The sequence below is a fragment of the Homo sapiens genome, chromosome 18 (assembly GCF_000001405.40).
Source record: "Homo sapiens chromosome 18, GRCh38.p14 Primary Assembly".
Lineage (NCBI taxonomy): Eukaryota > Metazoa > Chordata > Mammalia > Primates > Hominidae > Homo > Homo sapiens.
Window position 1 is genome coordinate 63163658 of NC_000018.10, and position 17679 is coordinate 63181336.

Below are 17679 nucleotides of genomic sequence, written 5' to 3' on the forward strand. Positions count from 1 at the left end.
AAAAAAACACACAACAATAGTCATTTATATAGCACTGTGTACAAGCACTGATCTAAGCACTTAACAAATATCCATTCATCTTAAACTTCATAGTGACTTTAAAAAGTAGGCACTATTATATTCCCCACTTCACACATGAGGAGATCAAAGTATTGGAGGGAAGTTGTCCAAAGTCACATAGTGGCTAAGCTAGACTCAAACTCTGGCAATCTGGCAATCAGACTCTTCAGAGTCTGTGCTCTTAGTGGCTGTGCTATATTCCTGTTAATAGGTGTGTGCTTTTATATGGCCTTTTTCATTGAAGCAAAGAGGAGCTTATCTTCTGTATGGATACCATGTTACAGTTATGTGTACTAAATCCATCATGAGTCAAGTCCAGTGTAAAGAAAACTGATGGTGAGATGTCATCTTCCAGGGAAGCTTCAGAAAGAAGTATGGTGGTGGTATGGGAGCTGAACAAATAGAGTTTTCTTTGAAATGAATGGAGTAAAATCTTCCAGTCCGCCCTCAGGACCCTGTGATATGGTACCACCCTTCCATGCTCTGTAGAAATAAGAGATTTGAACCTCTGGGCAATCTTTAGGTAGGCTTGCTCCAGAAAAATATTACTACATACCCAAGAGAATCTTCCCAAATCCTACTTTCTCAACATAAACTCAATACAACTCAAATCACAGCTGCCATTAGATTTGCTTACAAATTTTAAATATGATCTGGCAGCCCCAGACATGGTATGCCTGAGAACTCCAGATTAGGTACAAGAAGAAAACCTCATCCTGGTGGTCAAATCACGGCAGGAAGTGATGCCACTGACAATTATTCCTGTATTAGCAGTTGCTTAAGTACCATGAGGCTTTTAGGGGGAAAGACTGGGAGGCAGTGGTTGGAAATGAAGCCCATTATTAATGTAGTCAAGCTCTTCAGCTGGATTCAATAAAATAAAAAGCCCTGCCCAGACCAGTGTCTGTAGTAGAAGATGCTAAAGAGCTGTTTTTCAAAAATCTGGCTTTATTGAATCCAGGCTTTATACACAGCATTCCTTCTTCCTGAATGGCTGAAAAATCATTCCATGCATTTGAAACCACTGGAGGAGAAATGAACTTAAGCCATGGCAAGAAAGCACAGTTAGATTTAAGGCGTGAACGTCAGCGTTCAAGGTAATGGAAACCTTGGTAGCCCTGTAGATAGATTTTCAAGAGAGACTGTGAAATCCTCAAGTCAATTAATAGAAGAATATTTTTCACAATAGCAAAGACTTGGAACCAACCCAAATGTCCAACAATGATAGACTGGATTAAGAAAATGTGAATGCTAGATGACGAGTTAGTTGGTGCAGCGCACCAGCATGGCACATGTATACATATGTAACTAACCTGCACATTGTGCACATGTACCCTAAAACTTAAAGTATAATAATAAATAAATAAATAAATAAAAATAGAAGAATATTTTTATTAATTCAATTCAGGTTCAAAATTATTATTGGGCGCCTACCATGTGCCAGCCCCCATGTGGTGCCCTGCAAGGCTCTAAGGATACCAAGATGAATAAACACAACCACTGCTCAGGAGGAATTTACAACCCAAGGGAGGAAACAGGAGCTCAGGGCTGACAACCATGGAGGGAAGTGTCTTGGTTTGGATGAACCTCATTGGGTGTGACTCTGTTGGTCTCTGTCCCTCTCTCTGGGTTTGCTGCTGTCACTTTTCATGGCTCTGGCTCTGTCTTCATTGTTCTCTGACTGCCTTGTCTCCATCTTCCAGGCCCCTAGCTGCAGACCTCCCTGGCTTGGGGAGCCGCAGGCATCTTCTGTGTTTATCCCTCCAACCACATCCCTGGCCAATGGCTGCTTCTGCTTCCATACCCTGCTCAGCAGGCTCATCCACACTCATCAGGAATCCTGGAGAGACCTCTCCTATCCCAAACCTCTCTCAGGCTAAATGGCTACACAACCGGAAAAGGAGCCGTGGAGAAACTGACTCCTTGGGGGTGAAGGCCTCGGGCCTAGGTGTTTTACAGTCACCTGTGCAACAAACATTTACAAAGGGATGCAAAGGGCCCAGACACTGGCGGGAGACAAAAAGAGATTGAGCAAGACTCTGTCCTCAAGGACCTTAGGATCTAGAGAAGGCTTGCAGGGGAGGGGGGTGGAATCTAAGCCCGAGGGGATGTCCGAATAACAAACAAGCTATATGACAATGTTGAAAACAGAGTTCACTCCCAGGTTGGGTCTAATTGAGCCAGACAGTCATTGTCAAAAATCACATGCCCCAAATGGGCAGAGTTCGTTTGCTGGATCGCTTTAAAGCTGTGCCGTCTGCCTTGAAGCAAGTCCACTGTCATTTTGTTAAACAAGGGTCCTTCATCCAATACTGGTTATGGCCAGGGTTGCAGACCCACAGGACACAAAGCCTGGCCCTCAGTATGAGGACCAGCTGCTGGCTGGCTTCCTCGGAGGGGGACTGTGGGCTTGGGGGGCACTCACGGCTTTATAGACTGCCCAGTCCCATGCCCCAGAGAGAGGTGGTTGGCAGGAAGAAATGTGACACCAGGAAGTGCTAAGGAGAAAGACAAGGCAGCTCCCAGAGTGGGGAGAAGGATCCGCTGTGGAGGAGGAGAAACTTGGCCAACCTTGGAATGGGCCTTGGAAGACGAGAGGATTTGGACTGGGGGATGTAAGGCGAGGAGTCAAGCCAGCTCCAGGACCCTGGACGGGGCAGGGACGGCGTCCCTGGACCCTGGACAGCACGCATATCCTGACTGGGGAACGAGGTACCTGCAGAAGCCACACTGTCACTGGCTGGGAGGACACCCTGCAGTTGACTGCGCCAGCTCTCACTGGCCAAGCCCATACGATATCATGATCAGATCATGGAAAACGTATACATATTAACAGGGAACCCTGGTGAAATACATTTTTTGGAAATTATTTAGGAGACAAACAGTATAATAATGAACTGGTGTCCCTTAGAACAGTGTTAAACAGGAGTGAGCATTAACACACCCCTCCAACACTGGGCAGATGCTATCACTGTATTGACTTGGAGTATGACAGCTTACCGACGGGATATGAGGTATCACATAGGTTAAGTTTGGTTAGTAAAACATTAATGATTGCAGCATTAGAAATGATGCATTCCTGACAAGGGACACTATCGTCTTATACAGGTTTCTTTATCATATTGGTTGACTGATGTACTTCCCTCCCCTCCTTCTTTCCTTTTGTCTTTCCTTCCATGGAGCACTGACCAGGTGCTAGGCACTGGGCTAGATGCTGAGACTACACGGCAGAATGAGATGTAATCCCTGCTTTATGGTCGCATGCTCCAGCCAGGGAGACCAACAGCTAACAAATTCTAATGTTGCAACATGAGAAGGTGCTGGAGTAGAGGGATGTGGGAAAGGTGATGGGAGCACGAAGGAAGGTGGCTTCTGTTTTGAATGGGTTTTAAGAGGCCTCCTTTGGTGTATAATTCTATAATAAATATGTCTCATTGCTAGGGGGTTGGCTGTCTCTTACAGTCACCTATTTCCTGTCTTTCTCGCCTTCCTTCATTCATCTATCTACCTCCCTTTCTCTTTCATCTATCTATTCATCTATCATGAATATCATCTATTCATTTATCTACTTCTTTTTCTCTTTCTCTCCATCCAACATCCATCATCCATCCATCTAGCCTTCTAGGACATTTTAAATACATAACTTTTCTCTCTAAGTCAGATTTCTCTTCTTGCTATAGGAAAAGCCTAGCTACCAAGGATCATTTTGCTAAAGTGAAGGCTGACAAAGGAGATTTAGAATTCCTTCTTTGGGCACATTTAAAAATAAAATAGGACTGGGGCCAGGTGTGATGGCTCATGACTATCATCCTAGTGCTTTGGGAGGCCGAGGCAGGAGGATCACTTGAGCCTAAGAGTTTGAAACCAGCCTGGGCAACATAGCAAGACCTCCATCTCTACAAAAAAAATTAAGAATTAGCCGGATGTTGGCTGGGCGTGGTGGCTCCTGTCTGTAATCCCAGCATATGGGGAGGCCAAGGCGGGTGGATCATAAGGTCAAGAGATCAAGACTATCCTGGCCAACATGGTGAAACCCTGTCTCTACTAAAAATACAAAAATTAGCTGGGTGTGATGGTGCATGCCTGTGGTCCCACCTACTCAGGAGGCTGAGGTAGGAGAATCATTTAAACCCGGGAGGCAGAGGTTGCAGTGAGCAGAGATCACACCACTGCACTCCAGCCTGGGTGACAGAGTGAGACTCCGTCTCAAAAAAAAAAAAAAATAAATAAAGGAATTAGCAGGACTGAGGCAGGAGGATCACTTGAGCCCGGGAGTTTGTGGCTGCAGTGACCTATGATCATGCCACTGCACTCCAGGCTGGACAAGAGAGTGGGGCCCTTTCTCTAAACAACAACAACAACATGATTGTTGCCATCTGGCTGGAATGGGCAGGTGGTTCTGCCTAAAGGCAGAGGGGCCTATTGGAGAATGTGTCAAGAGTGCCCATGCCTCCTTGTTCCATCCATTGCCAATGTACCAAGGATCATTTTGCCAAAGTGAAGTCTGACAAAGGAGGTTTAGAATTCCTTCCCTGGGCACATTTAAAAACAGGACTGGGGTCAGGTGTGATGGCTCATGGGCAGGAGGATCACTTGAGCCCATGAGCTTGAGACCAGCCTGGGCAACATAGCAAGACCTCCATGTCTACAAAACAATTAAAAATGTCCTAAGTCCCCTTGGACCACCAGCAGCTGCCACCTGTCAACACTGGAACTGATCGCCCAGGCCAAATGTTGAGGTGGGGACTGAGGCCCTGGAGGATGCACATCCATAGTCTCTGAGGTCATTCTTTGCTGGCTGCAGTTCTAACACGGACTGATGACTCTGCATGGAGAGTCACAGGAGGCTTATCGTCATCCATAGCTGACGTCCACAGCCAGACATCCACGAGATGCTCAAACTCAGAATGCTATGTGGCTAGCATTTTCCAATGCCTAAAGCTTCTGATCTGTTTCCAACTGGGGGGAAATGTGGACTGCTCCGTTTATTGGTATGTCTGGCCTCTGTCGCCTAAATTTCCAAAGATTCCCTCATCTTCTGTGAAGTATAAAGTCCTCCTGGAATGCCAGGGCTTTTTAGGCGGTCTGCATGTTGTAGGAAGAGAAAAGGTGACCTGAGGGTGGGATCTAGAAACATTGCACTTTCCCTATTGGAATCCAAAGTGGGGAGCCATTCTCAACAACTAACTAGCAACAACCCAAGTCCTCAGGATTGAACACGCTCAGCGGTCATCTGTCTTTATCTTGGGGTCTTAACTGTATTTGATGAAAGCTGCTTATTGGCCTAACAGCATTGAATAAACAGGCAAAATTCCCAGCCTCTGGCTGACTCTCCTGAAGTATCTCCAGCCTTGATTCTGAGAATCTAACATGGGCTTCCCAGCACTACAGGCACAGGCAGGCACCTGATCATCCCTGGTGACACTTATTTCCTAATCGATTCCATGGAGGGCTTCTTTTGGGCGGTCAGAAACAACAGGCCCTTGTTTTCTAAGTTAAATGCAGACAGAATAGTTTTTCCCCTTCGTGTTTTTCTTTCTTTCTTTCTTTCTTTCTTTCTTTCTTTCTTTCTTTCTTTCTTTCTTTCTTTCTTCCTTCCTTCCTTCTTTCCTTTCCTTCCTTTCTTTCTTTCTTTCTTTCTTTCTTTCTTTCTCTTTCTTTCTTTCTTTCTTTTTCTTTCTTTCTTTTTCTTTCTCTCTCTCTCTCTCTCTTTCTTTTTCTTTCTTTCCTTTCTCCCTCTCTCTCCCTCCCTGTCTCCCTCCCTCCCTCCCTCCCTCCTCTCTTTCTTTTCTCTTCTCTTCTCTTTTTTTTCTTCCTTCCTTTTCAATGGAGTCTCGCTCTGTCACCCAGGCTGGAGTGCAGTGGCATGATCTTGGCTCACTGCAACCTCCACCTCCTGGGTTCAAGCAATTCTCCTGCTCTAGTCACCCGAGTAGCTGGGACTACAGTGTGTGTGACACCATGCCCAGCTAATTTTTGTATTTTTAGTAGAGAAGGGGGTTTCACCATGTTGGCCAGGCTGGTCTTGATCTCTTGACCTCATGATCCACCCGCCTCGGCCTCCCAAAGTGCTGGGATTACAGGTGTGAGCCACCGTGCCCAGCGCGTTTTCTTTAAGGGGTAGATGCCGGTGGCCGTCATCAAAGTAATTCTAATGCTATTTAAAATTCTTATCTCTTGAGAAGAATAGAGATGATCCTTTAATGTTCTTTTACACATTTTTCAATGTTTTCCTTGCAACTGTAACAAGCAAACTCATGTCATCAATAGCCATATTATGACCGTAATCAGTGATCAGTATGTGGAAGGAAGCCTAACTTGGTGACTAACAGCACACACATGGCTTTAAACCTGGCTCAGTCACTTACCACTGCATGACCTTGCGCAAGCTGCTAAATGCCTCTGTGCCTCAGTTTTTTTCATCTATAAAATGGGGCTAATGATAGTGCATACCTCATTAGGTTCTTGGGAGTATAAAATATGTTACTATATACGACATGCTTAAAACAGTGACGGGCACATGGTAAGTGTGAGCTCTCATACTAATGAATGAATAACTCATTGAACTAAGCAACACCAAGCAGACAAGGCAGCATCTAGAAACTTGGGTTTTCAATGGGCTACAATAATATAGCAATGAGCTTGGAATGGTGCCTTGTGCATAGTCAGTGTTCAATGTTAGCAACTCGTAATATGGACACCTGGGCCCCACTTTTGCTTGGAACTGTTTTATATGACCTTGACTTAATCCATCCAAAGCTCAGCTACATTACATTTTGCTTCCTTTCTTCCATCTTTGGTGTTTATGCGGAAAAGACCCAACCCCAGGTCAGAGAAAGTCCTCCACTAACACTGTGAGATGCAAGTCACATTCGGTATATGACCAGTAAATTGGGTCCCACTTTGGAGTTCTTCTCCCATTTCATTATCCTTCTGCAAATTTTCCTTGTGTCTGCCCTTTATATGTGCTCAAGACTTCAAATCATGGGGCCATCTGCACTCTTTAAAACTTTCATTCAGTCGTACTTCTATTTTGCACATAAGGAAACACAAGTACAAACGATAATGTGCAAAGCAGGTATGAAATTAATCAGGCTTGTCATGGACGGTCACTGGGCTCACAAGCTACAGGTCGCACATGGGTGACTGTCAACAGTTGGCTGGACACTGATAGAGAGTTACACCAATCGAGTGTCTTCTTCCAAAAACTTAGAATCAGGTAGACGCCAATGTTTTCTTAGGTATTCTTAGTAAATAGACTTTTTTGAGCAGATTAGAAAAGGAACGATTTATTTTTGAAATAATGCTAGTAAAATATATAAATTCAGCTTTTATGAGATTTTCTTACTGTTATAATGTTTTCCTCTATTCTGAATTCAAAGTGAACTTTTAAAATGTCTAAAAACCATGCTTTGCCTAAGTATTCATAAGCCATGTGTGATACGTGTCCATCATTTGACAATGGCCAGAGTTTACTAGTGTAATTTTCAAGTATCAGTCCCTGTGCCAGGTTAATGGATTTAAGAAAAAAAACAAAAACCAACACCTTAATTTCTAAGATCTGGCCTTTTAACCTTTTAGGAAATGAAAGGATTTAAATAGCCTGCTGATATATCTCATAGTGTGTCTACCCTGCAATTCCACTAGCACGGTGTGAATGAGCCTGATTCACTGCTGGAGTGAGGGAGGTTAGGAGATCCTGATAAACTCAGATAACATGTAAAGAAAATGCTTAGCAACTGGTGGCCCAGGAGCATTCAGAAGGCTTGCAAGGGCAAAGCACTTATAATCATGAAATGAGAAGGGATGTTACTGACAATAACCAACTGATTGATAACATCTAGTTATAATAGAGTCTAGTTAAGTGCACTCACAAAACAGCTATATGATGCCACAGGTAAAATGAAACTTTGAAAGAAAGCTAGTCCATATATGGTAAATATGCTTCAAGCTGTAAGAGATAAAAATAATAAATATGGCCAGGCACATAGCTCATGCCTGTGATCCCAGCACTTGGGAGGCCAAAGCTGGAGGATTCCTTGAGCCTTGAAGTTTGAGACTAGCCTAGGTGACAGAGCAAGACCTTGTCTCTACAAAAAATTAAAAGAAAAAAATTATCTGGGAGTGGTGGCACAGGCCTGTAGTCCCACATACTCATGAGGCCCAGGCAGAAGGATTGCTTGAGTCCAGGGGTTTGAGGCTGCAGTGAGCTATGATCACACCACTGCACTCCAGCCTGGGTGACAAAGCGAGACCCCATCTCTAATAAATAGATACATACATAAATATATACACAAATTAGATAGAATATCAAATACATTTGTTATATATCAGAGTTAGATTTCAACTCTGACCTGTAATTGGGCTAATACCTATAAGGCACAGGATGATTCTGACTCCCATGATTCAGAGCATGTTGAGCTTAGCATGGTCTTATGTATTAATAGTTTAAAAACACAGTGAATGAACACAATCCTAATGAACAATTTCTAAAGATGGACAGAGCACTTCACCTGGTAATTACTTTTCACATCCTTTCATTCACGTACTCACTTGCTGCACAGCTACTATCTCCTCACTCGTGAGTATTATTCCTCACTTATCTGTCTGTTGAGCAAGAACAACGCAGACACTAAACACCCTGATGCTGCTTGGTCCTGAAGAACTGGTGAGATGGATCTGGCTTTTTCATCAGAATATTATTATTTTCCCACTTGAGTCTTTGGGGACTCAACAATCATGCCCTGAGAGTAGGCATCAAAATGGTAAACAGTGAATTCCCGGCCGGGCGTGGTGGTTCACGCCTGTAATCCCAGCACTTTGGGAGGCCGAGGCGGGTGGATCACAAGGTCAGGAGATCGAGACCATCCTAGCTAACACGGTGAAACCCTGTCTCTACTAAAAATATAAAAAATTAGCCAGGTGTGGTGGCGGGCGCCTGTAGTCCCAGCTACTCGGGAGGCTGAGGCAGGAGAATGGCGTGAACCTGGGAGGTGGAGCTGGCAGTGAGCCGAGATCGTGCCACTGCACTCCAGCCTGGGCGACAGAGGAAGACTGTGTCTCAAAAACAAAAAACAAAAAACAAAAACAGTGAATTCCCATCTAAATGACCAACTCTACCTGAAAATGTAAAAGTATTCAATGAGATCATGAAGGCAGAAAAGTCATGATGCACCAACGGATCTCAACTCCGCATTCATTCCTCCTTTAGGTCAGCTTTGTCTTCACTTGCACCATAGCCTGCATTCCCATTGATTGACTCTACGCAGGATGTCTATAAATAGTAATTAAAAACTGAAAAAAGACATCATATTGTTTAACTTGAAATAACCTTTCAAAACCACAAAAAGTTTAGCTCCAATATAGAAGTTGTGATCAATTCTCCTTTTTGTTTTATTCCAGAAAGAAACTGGCACATAATCGTAATTAAAAACTGAAAAAAGACATCATATTGTTTAACTTGAAATAACCTTTCACAACCACAAGAAGTTTAGCTCCAATATAGAAGTTGTGATCAATTCTCCTTTTTGTTTTATTCCAGAAAGAAACTGGCACATGTAAGATGAAGAAAAATTCTGTTTCCAACATATATTTTGCTAGGCTCACCGTTAAAATACACACAAGCCAAAAACACCGACTCTACCTGAACATTTTGGGGGTTGTTTAAACATGTTTGTTTTCTTAGTGAAGCTAAAAATGTTTTTCCCTGGTGTTTTTGAAGAGACATTTAGACTAAAATAAAAATAAAAATAAATGACATGTATAAAAAGTTATAGTCATCAGACCTGGAGCAGAATTCGGAAAGCGGATGGAGGAAGTGAATTTTAAGACCTGTGCAGCAGTTTTCCTATTTTGGTTGCTCTAAATAGACGTGGAAAAACAAATCGAAAGAAAAAAGCCCATCTCTCTCCACCCTGTACAAATGAGATATAAAAACTGATTCCTCATCTGGAGTTAAGCTCAGGAATAGATTAATGTATGTCCATGCAATATTTTTTCTGTTATTATAGATCAAATGCTATTACTATGAACTCTAATAGGACAAGACTTCTTGTTTGTATCAGACTTCTTATCATTTGGTATATTCTAGACATGACTGAGCTTAAAAATCTTAGGGGGATGAAAACCACAAAGAAATATTTATTGTAGAATACTGACTATAATCAAATTTGACTTGCAGTTTCCTTTTAAGTGAGAAAAACATAATAAGAATTTCAGTATAGAAAGGGTTTCCTCACTTGGATAATTGGAATGAGGCCCATGGCTTTGGAAAATCTCTGAAAATATTAGGCTAAGTTTCTTGTGTTTGTGAATTTTTCTGGAGAGAGGATACATAGCTGTAATTTAATTATCAAAGGATGCACACACACATCTATAATACTATATGTATATATGACTATATATAGACACATACACATATGTATATTTACTCATTTAATTCTTAAAACCTCTATGAAATGAGTACTCTTTTGTTCCTCATTTTACAGATAATAAATAAACAAAGATTACCTACTTCCTAGGTTAGCAGTTGTTTCACTTAATGCTAAGGGACCCAGCCAAGACTATGAACCCAAAACTCAATGAGAAACACAATTGAAACTCAGAATTTCTAGTACGCATGGACGGGTGGATGAATGGATGTCTCAGGTCTTTTATTGTTGTTTTTTTTTTCTTCTCTGCTCCTCTTTTTCTGATGTATGTGGATGGCTCTCCTGTCAATTTACAACCTAGTCTAATGTTAAACACCAACTCATACTTGTCTTTTCTGAGACCCAAGTAAAAAATGGTACATTCATTTTCTGTTATAAAGAGCATAAAGAGGCTGGGCATGGTGGCTCATGCCTGTAATCCCAGCACTTTGGGAGGCCGAGGCGGGTGTATCACCTGAGGTCAGGAGTTCGAGACCAGCCTGGCCAACATGGTGAAACCCCGTCTCTACTAAAAATACCAAAACTAGCCGGGCGTAGTGGCAGGCACCTGTAATCCCAGCTACTCGGGGGGCTGAGGCAGGAGAATTGCTTGAACCCAGGAGGCGGAAGTTGCAGGGAGTCGAGATCATGCCACTGCACTCCAGCATGGGGGACAAGAGTGAGACTTTGTCTCAAAAAAAAAAAAAAAAAAAAGCATTAAGAAGTTCTACGGTCTTCCCTCAATCTCTCTGTCATCTCCCCCAAAACACTAAATTTTGTGGAATTCCATTAAGAACTATATAGCATACTCCTAAAAACACATGTCTGCCGTTTTCACCTAAGATGCCACACTGACCCACAAATCCAGGTTGAGGGGTATCTGTCTTGACATTGTTTGAAGTCTACCACATTTTGTCAAAAGCCACCTTCCTCAAATATTATCGTCATTCGCAAGCCCCCCACAAGCACTTCCTCAGTCACTCTCCAAAGCTTGGATAAAGTTCATTCCCTGGAACTTTGGGCAACCAAATCACTAGCATTCATGAAAAAATACTGGAAAAGAAGGCTCAGCCCTAAACACTGAATAACTTCTTTGTTGACCCTCAAAAGATACAGGCAAATTTAAAGATTGTTCCATTTGTCAATTGATTAAAAAAATTATGAAACATAATTTAAGTTAGACGTGGGAGTGGTACTAGCCAAATGCTATAGTCGAATTAGCTAACCATCTGTTGTACTGCCTAGAGACTTTCACATATATTATTTCCAAAAGTCATATTCAAAACATCTAGCAACCAGCATAGTGTGCACCTAGGCCAATCAGACTAGGCTTCAGCCAGCTGTAAGCAGCCAGCACAGCTGGGCAACCTAGGTGAATTCCAGCCCTGTTAGTTCATGTAAGGTCCCCATTGGTGCTAAACCTGTTTTACCAATGGATTTAAGAAGGAACCCAAAGTGTGAAAATTCAGGCTTCAGGAAGTGAAGGGGTGGCCTGGATCAATCAGCTGGTAAATGATAGAGAGGAGATTCAAAGTCAGATTTCCCAACCCTTGCTCTCTCCTCCTCCCACTACACAGGTGCCCAAAAATACTCTCAGGGAGACAAAGTTGTCTGGAGCTCCACGCCACATCAGACAGCAAAGCTATTGGGACTACTCAGGAGACAATCTATTTAGACACCTTCTTAAGAGTATCAGGAGCCTGAGAGACGGGCATCCTCTGATCTCCAGCTTTCTACGGGGCTCACACCTCTCTGAATAGTTTCACTGTAATCTTCTCTGCTGCCTGTGACATGGGAGGCACTCACACTGGAGATGTGACTTGTTATGATGGAAGGATACATGACTTGGGATGATGGGAAGGTGGGTGAAAATTGTGGATGGAATTTTCAAGCAAAGGGAAATCTAAAAAATGATCTCAGCTTGAACTCCCACAGCGTGGTTTGGTTGCCTGCTTCCCTAGACGAGCTGTTCTGTTCGCTCTGGTCAGGACTTGGCATGGTCTATTGAAAGAATTTTCCTTTATTAGCATGGGGAGCAATGGCAGGATGGAAATGAGTGTTTTGAGAATGCTTGAGATAAAATCACTGGCAGACTATTCAATATTTTCTATAATGATGAGACCTAACCTAACAAATTGGTCTGTCTCTCATCCTCTGGCCAGTCCTTTCTGACACTAGAGACCCAGTGGGCCTGAGGAGGGCAGCCTAGGAGGCCAATGTGGGTGGTCAGGCACCTGGGGACCAGGGTTCCAAAACCCTCCTCCTGTCGGCTCCCAATAGGGTGTTTGCCTGCCTAGACCGTGTCAGGCACAGAGTCAGCATTTGTTCAGGGACTGCTTGTTGATTGAATGAGTGAGTGAACGAGTGAAAGAAAGGATGAATAAATCAAACAGTGAATAAGTCAGTGAATAAAAGAGTGAGTGGGTGGTAGTAGCGGGTAAATGGGCAAGGGCAGTAATAGTCTTTTCTTTCTTTTTTTTACAATTGATACATAGTAATTATACATATTTATAGAGTACATGTGATATTTTGATACATGCATACAATACCTAACAAATCAGAGTGTTTAGGATACTCATCACCTCACTTATCATTTCTTTGTGTTGGGAACATTTAAAATCTTCTCTTCCAGCTATTTTGAAATATATAATAAATTGCTAACTATAGCCAACTTACTGTGCTATTAAACACAATAACTTATTCCTTCATCTAACTGTATGTTTGTACCCATTAATCAGCCTCTCTTTATCACCTCCCAACCCTTCCCGAAGAACTTGATGTTTTTCTTCTTTTCTTTTTTTTTTTTTGAGACAGGGTCTCACTCCCATCTTCTGGGCTGGAGTGCAGTGGTACAATCACAGCTCTCTGCAGCCTCGACTTCCTGGGCTCAGGTGATTCTCTCACCTCAGCCTCCCGAGTAGCTGGGACCACAGGTGCACACCCCCACGCCCATGTAATTTTTCTATTTTTAGTAGAGACGGGTTTTCATCATGTTGATCAGGCTGGTCTCAAACTCTTGGGCTCAAGTAATTCACCCGCTTCCATAGGGGTGAGTCACTGCACCCTGCCAACATTTTTCAAAAGTAAAAAATAAATTAAAAAAAAAGTCTTTAGTGGATTGCTGAGTCCCCTCTGACAGGAGGTACCAAATGTGCTTTTCCTGAGGACAGGGGAAGAGTTCACTATTCAGCCATACCTTTGCATATTTTACAAAATTCACTTCTACCAAGGATGCCTCTCCACAAAATGAGGAGTAGCACAAAGAACACCTAAGAAACCAGGCCTGACCCAGGGCCTCTGATGCTGGGGCAGGTTCCCCGCGTGCTAATATCCCAGGGGACCCTGTTGCAGTTCTCTGAATACCGGCTGTGAGCTTTCCAACTTCAGCTGAGTCCCAGCATCCTCCTCACACCACTTATCCTCCTTGCCTGTCCCTGGCGCGTTTAGACAACTGGAATCTTTGCTGACATTTTAAATGGGCTGGCTACTTCTCCAGCGTGGAGGCACCTAGCACAAGGTGTGATAGATCAGTATTTGTTGATGAGTAACAAAGTTATTCTGGCAAATTGGACTTTTCCCCTGAAACGTTTTGGCTTTTACATTTTTAATGATGGGTCAAGAAACAGCCCCCAAGAAGAAGGGGCGGAGATAGGGGGTAGGACCCTGCCTGAAGCTTCCAAGCTGACTCTGTTTGCAGTCACTTAATTCACTAGGGAGGGCTGGATCTGCCTCCCTGTGGTGGACTCTCCGCATCTCCAGAAAGTGCAGGGGTGGAGAATTAACTCAGCCCCCCTCCTCCCCATAAGAGCCCCGCCAGGTCAGCCTGCATGAGGAGGGCACGTGCACACCTCCAAAAGGACTGGTGCAGCCACTTCCCTAAGCTCACAGTCCCAGTGTGAGCTCAGGGCCCAGACTCGGGGCCTCTGGTGTTTCAGGCGTGAGCCAAGTCCCCTGAGCAAGAGGCCTCATGATAAATCAGTTGGAGCCTGGGGGCCATGAAAGCATTGGTTATGGCAGAAACTACCAGCTCGTCACCGTTTATGCTGCTTTGCTTAAAAATGACACCGCGTAAGGGATTTTGCCAATTCCCAACCTCGGGAGATCACCCACCACCTGGCTGTGGTCCGCCGCTGAACAGGAAAGCACTCCGAGATGCCAAGAGACTAAAAGGCTCGTAACTGTTGTTTAGAAATGAAAATGGCCCTAAATTATAACCAGAGATGGAAGCGCGTCTCAGGGGAGGGCGGGGCGCTGTGTAATCGAGCCTCCCATGCGCAAGGCGGATACAAACGGTTTATGGATGTGGGCGAAGGTTCTCAGAGCAAAGAATGTCCATTTCCATCAGATTAAAATACAGTTTGGGAAAACAATTACCTGCCTGAGATCCTGGGAAAGTAAAACTTCCTGGTTTCTTTGCCAGGAAGAACGATTGTAAAACAAGGGCTGAGAATCTCCCAAACAAGATTTTAGAATTTTATCCAAACAGCTGCAGTTCACCTTTGAGGAGCCCCAGACTCACTTGGGTCTGATGGATGTTGCAACACCAAGTTTGAGGTCTCCCCAGCCTGGTGCCAAGAGTGGGCCCCAGGGGACAAACAGAGAACAGTTGCTCTCTTAATCGGAGTAGAAAACAAAACTCCCTCCCCTTCCCACCCCCAACCTCCCTGCTTTGTTGTGAAATTGTCACTGCGCCTTTGAGGAGTGATTAAAATCCCAGCCATGACCAATTTAAAGGGCAGGTTCCCAGGCAGGGAAGGGAAAGGGGTTCAAGGCAAAAAAAAAAAAAAAAAGTCAGTTGAAGTGAGTTTATGGAGGATTTGGGGATCACAAAAGTCATGGGACTTGAGTCAATTAAAATTAATGGAAAAGCACCAACATGCAATTTAAAAAATAATAATAAAATAAAGCAGTAAGGATATTTCTGGCTTGCTCTCTGCTTCCATTCTTGAGCCTGCTTGGGAATCTTGGAGCAGACTTCCTGAAGCACAGCATGAGTGCCCAATGGCTGTTTTAACCTATTTTCCTGCCCTTCACACACAAAGATTCTGCAATGGAGAGTGGGAATGAATGGTCCACCCACCCCTGAACATTTCCTGTGAGTTGGGAATGCGCTCAGTAAGGCTGCTGGAGTGGAGGGAAAAGAAAAGGTGTCTGAGTTCTCTAGACATGGGCAGAAAAGGAGAGAATTTGAGACAGGCTGAGAGAAAGCTGCTCCGGTTGGCAGCATTGCCAGATTCTCAGACACACCGTACATTCCAGCCCCCGAAAAGGCCATCCTGAGTCCCTCTAGGGCCCCTGGGGCTCTCATCTCATCCCAAATATTTGGAACTGTCTGTGCCTGCTATAATACACAAGAGCCCCTTCCCATGTTTTCTCCTGGTGCTATTTGTAAAGGTGAGGAAAGGTAACGATACCAAAGGAGTTCTAATCCTATGGGCTTGGTTCCCAGAAAGCCCTATGTTGCGGTGCGGAAGGCAGGTAAGGAGGCGAAGGTTCCCAACTCCACCTAGGGGAGGGAGCATATCTCAGCAAAGGACTCAGTCTTTACCCAGCCTGAATCTTACCTGTGGTCCTTGGATGGACACTCACATTGATTAAGTCAAGAGATTCCGATCAAGCCCTCTCATCCTCATTCCTACGGTGGGGATGATAATAGTACCTAACTCGCCGGTGAGAGTTCTTATGACGATGAAATGAGTTGCCAGGTATTATAGTGTTTAGAATGCAGCATAGCACACAGTAGCTCAACAGATGCTCGATTTCATTGCTGTTGTAAGTGTCCTTATTCTCTGATTGATCATTCATTTAGCTTTCTCTTTTCTCACTCAATGAGACTTCTGCAGTATTGTGATGAATGTCTTATAGCTATCCCTTTCATGAAAGACCTCAGAGCCCCAAGTTACAAAAGCACATGGCCATCTACGCAATCTATCAATTAAGCACTATGCTTCACCTGATTAGGAAACCCTTACCTTTCGGCATCATTCCTTCTTCCCTTTCATTTTCCTCCCTTCTTCTCCCTTCCAAACCCACTACACATGCCTAGCTGATATTTTATTAACCCCTGACGGCTTATGGAAAATGTGTTTTAGCCATAGGAACACTGATGTCCTATAGCCAAGTTGCTTTTCTGAATCAGACACCAGCTCCCTAGCCAAATGGGGAAGAGCAGGGAAGGGAGATATTAAAATCCTTTGCTAAAGCAGAAGCTCTGGGTGTTGCTAGGAAGTCTTGCTCTTCAGCAAAAACTGCAGCAGGAATCCCTTCTCCTCCTTTGTGAAACGGAAAACAAACGGCTTGCTCCGATTCCCCGGCTCTATGGGGGCTGCTGAGCAGCACTGCTTCCCCTGGAGAGAGAAGGTGGAGGCAGAAGCTGTCCGCCCACCCCACCCCAGACCGCCCATCCCACCCCAGGCTTAATCTCCATGGCGTTTTCCACTTTCCCAGGCTGACCACGGCAACGTGAATGCTTCGCTGCCAGCCAGCTGAGTACTGCCCTTGGTGAGAACTCTGCCTCGGAGAAGCAGGGGGAACTGAAGCTGCATTGTAGGATAGGGGGTCTCCAGCCAATGCTCCTAGACCCCCTACTAGTGATGGGGCTCTCAAACTACTAGTGATGGGGCTCTCCATCATCAAGGTCCCTTAGCCCTCCAGCTCCCGGGCCTCTCAGGGCTCCTACGGTAGCTGCTCCTATGGGCAGACACATCCCTTTTCCTATTATAGTTACAGCAAAAACAATAAGCAGTAAATCCACCAAGGGTCCTGTGGGCTCCCACAGACCAACATTCCCACAATGCCCAGTGGAAACGTGTCAGTGTACAGACGCTTTGATTCATTGTGATCCAAGGGGCTTTTCATGCCTTTAAAAACAAATATTAATGTGGAGAAGATGCTTTGTTTCACCATGCACTCTCATGGCTCACGACGGAGGCCCCAAATGTAAAGCTTTCAGGACAAGCAAGTGCAACATGCAAGACAGACCAGTCATTTTTACCTCTGCCACCAGAAATGAAAAAGCGTTTTCTCCTTGTTTGGCTGCAGGTTACTAATTTGGAGGATGCCAGTTTTAGAGTTCATCTCAGTTTGACTTGTAAATGAAAGGTGGAACCTAGCCAAAATTACCCCTGTGTGGCTGCTGGCCCTGGCACGCCTCGCATACCCCTCTTTCCTATGTTGAGGTGGGACAGTCACTGAAATCATTAGAAAGAGC

General features: G+C 44.2%; 1 protein-coding gene across 2 annotated transcripts in view, besides 1 other annotated feature; it reads right to left on the reverse strand.

The window, feature by feature from the left end:
- Positions 1 to 17679, reverse strand: part of BCL2 (BCL2 apoptosis regulator) — a 196745-nt gene that overhangs the window by 40312 nt on the left and 138754 nt on the right. The gene's annotated exons all lie outside the window — the stretch shown is intronic.
- Positions 12029 to 12088: an enhancer, noted in NCBI's record as "active region_13461". NCBI's record gives its function as "activates an Ori minimal core promoter by ATAC-STARR-seq in GM12878 lymphoblastoid cells {active_cell/tissue: GM12878}" and the evidence as "EXISTENCE:reporter gene assay evidence [ECO:0000049][PMID:35858748]".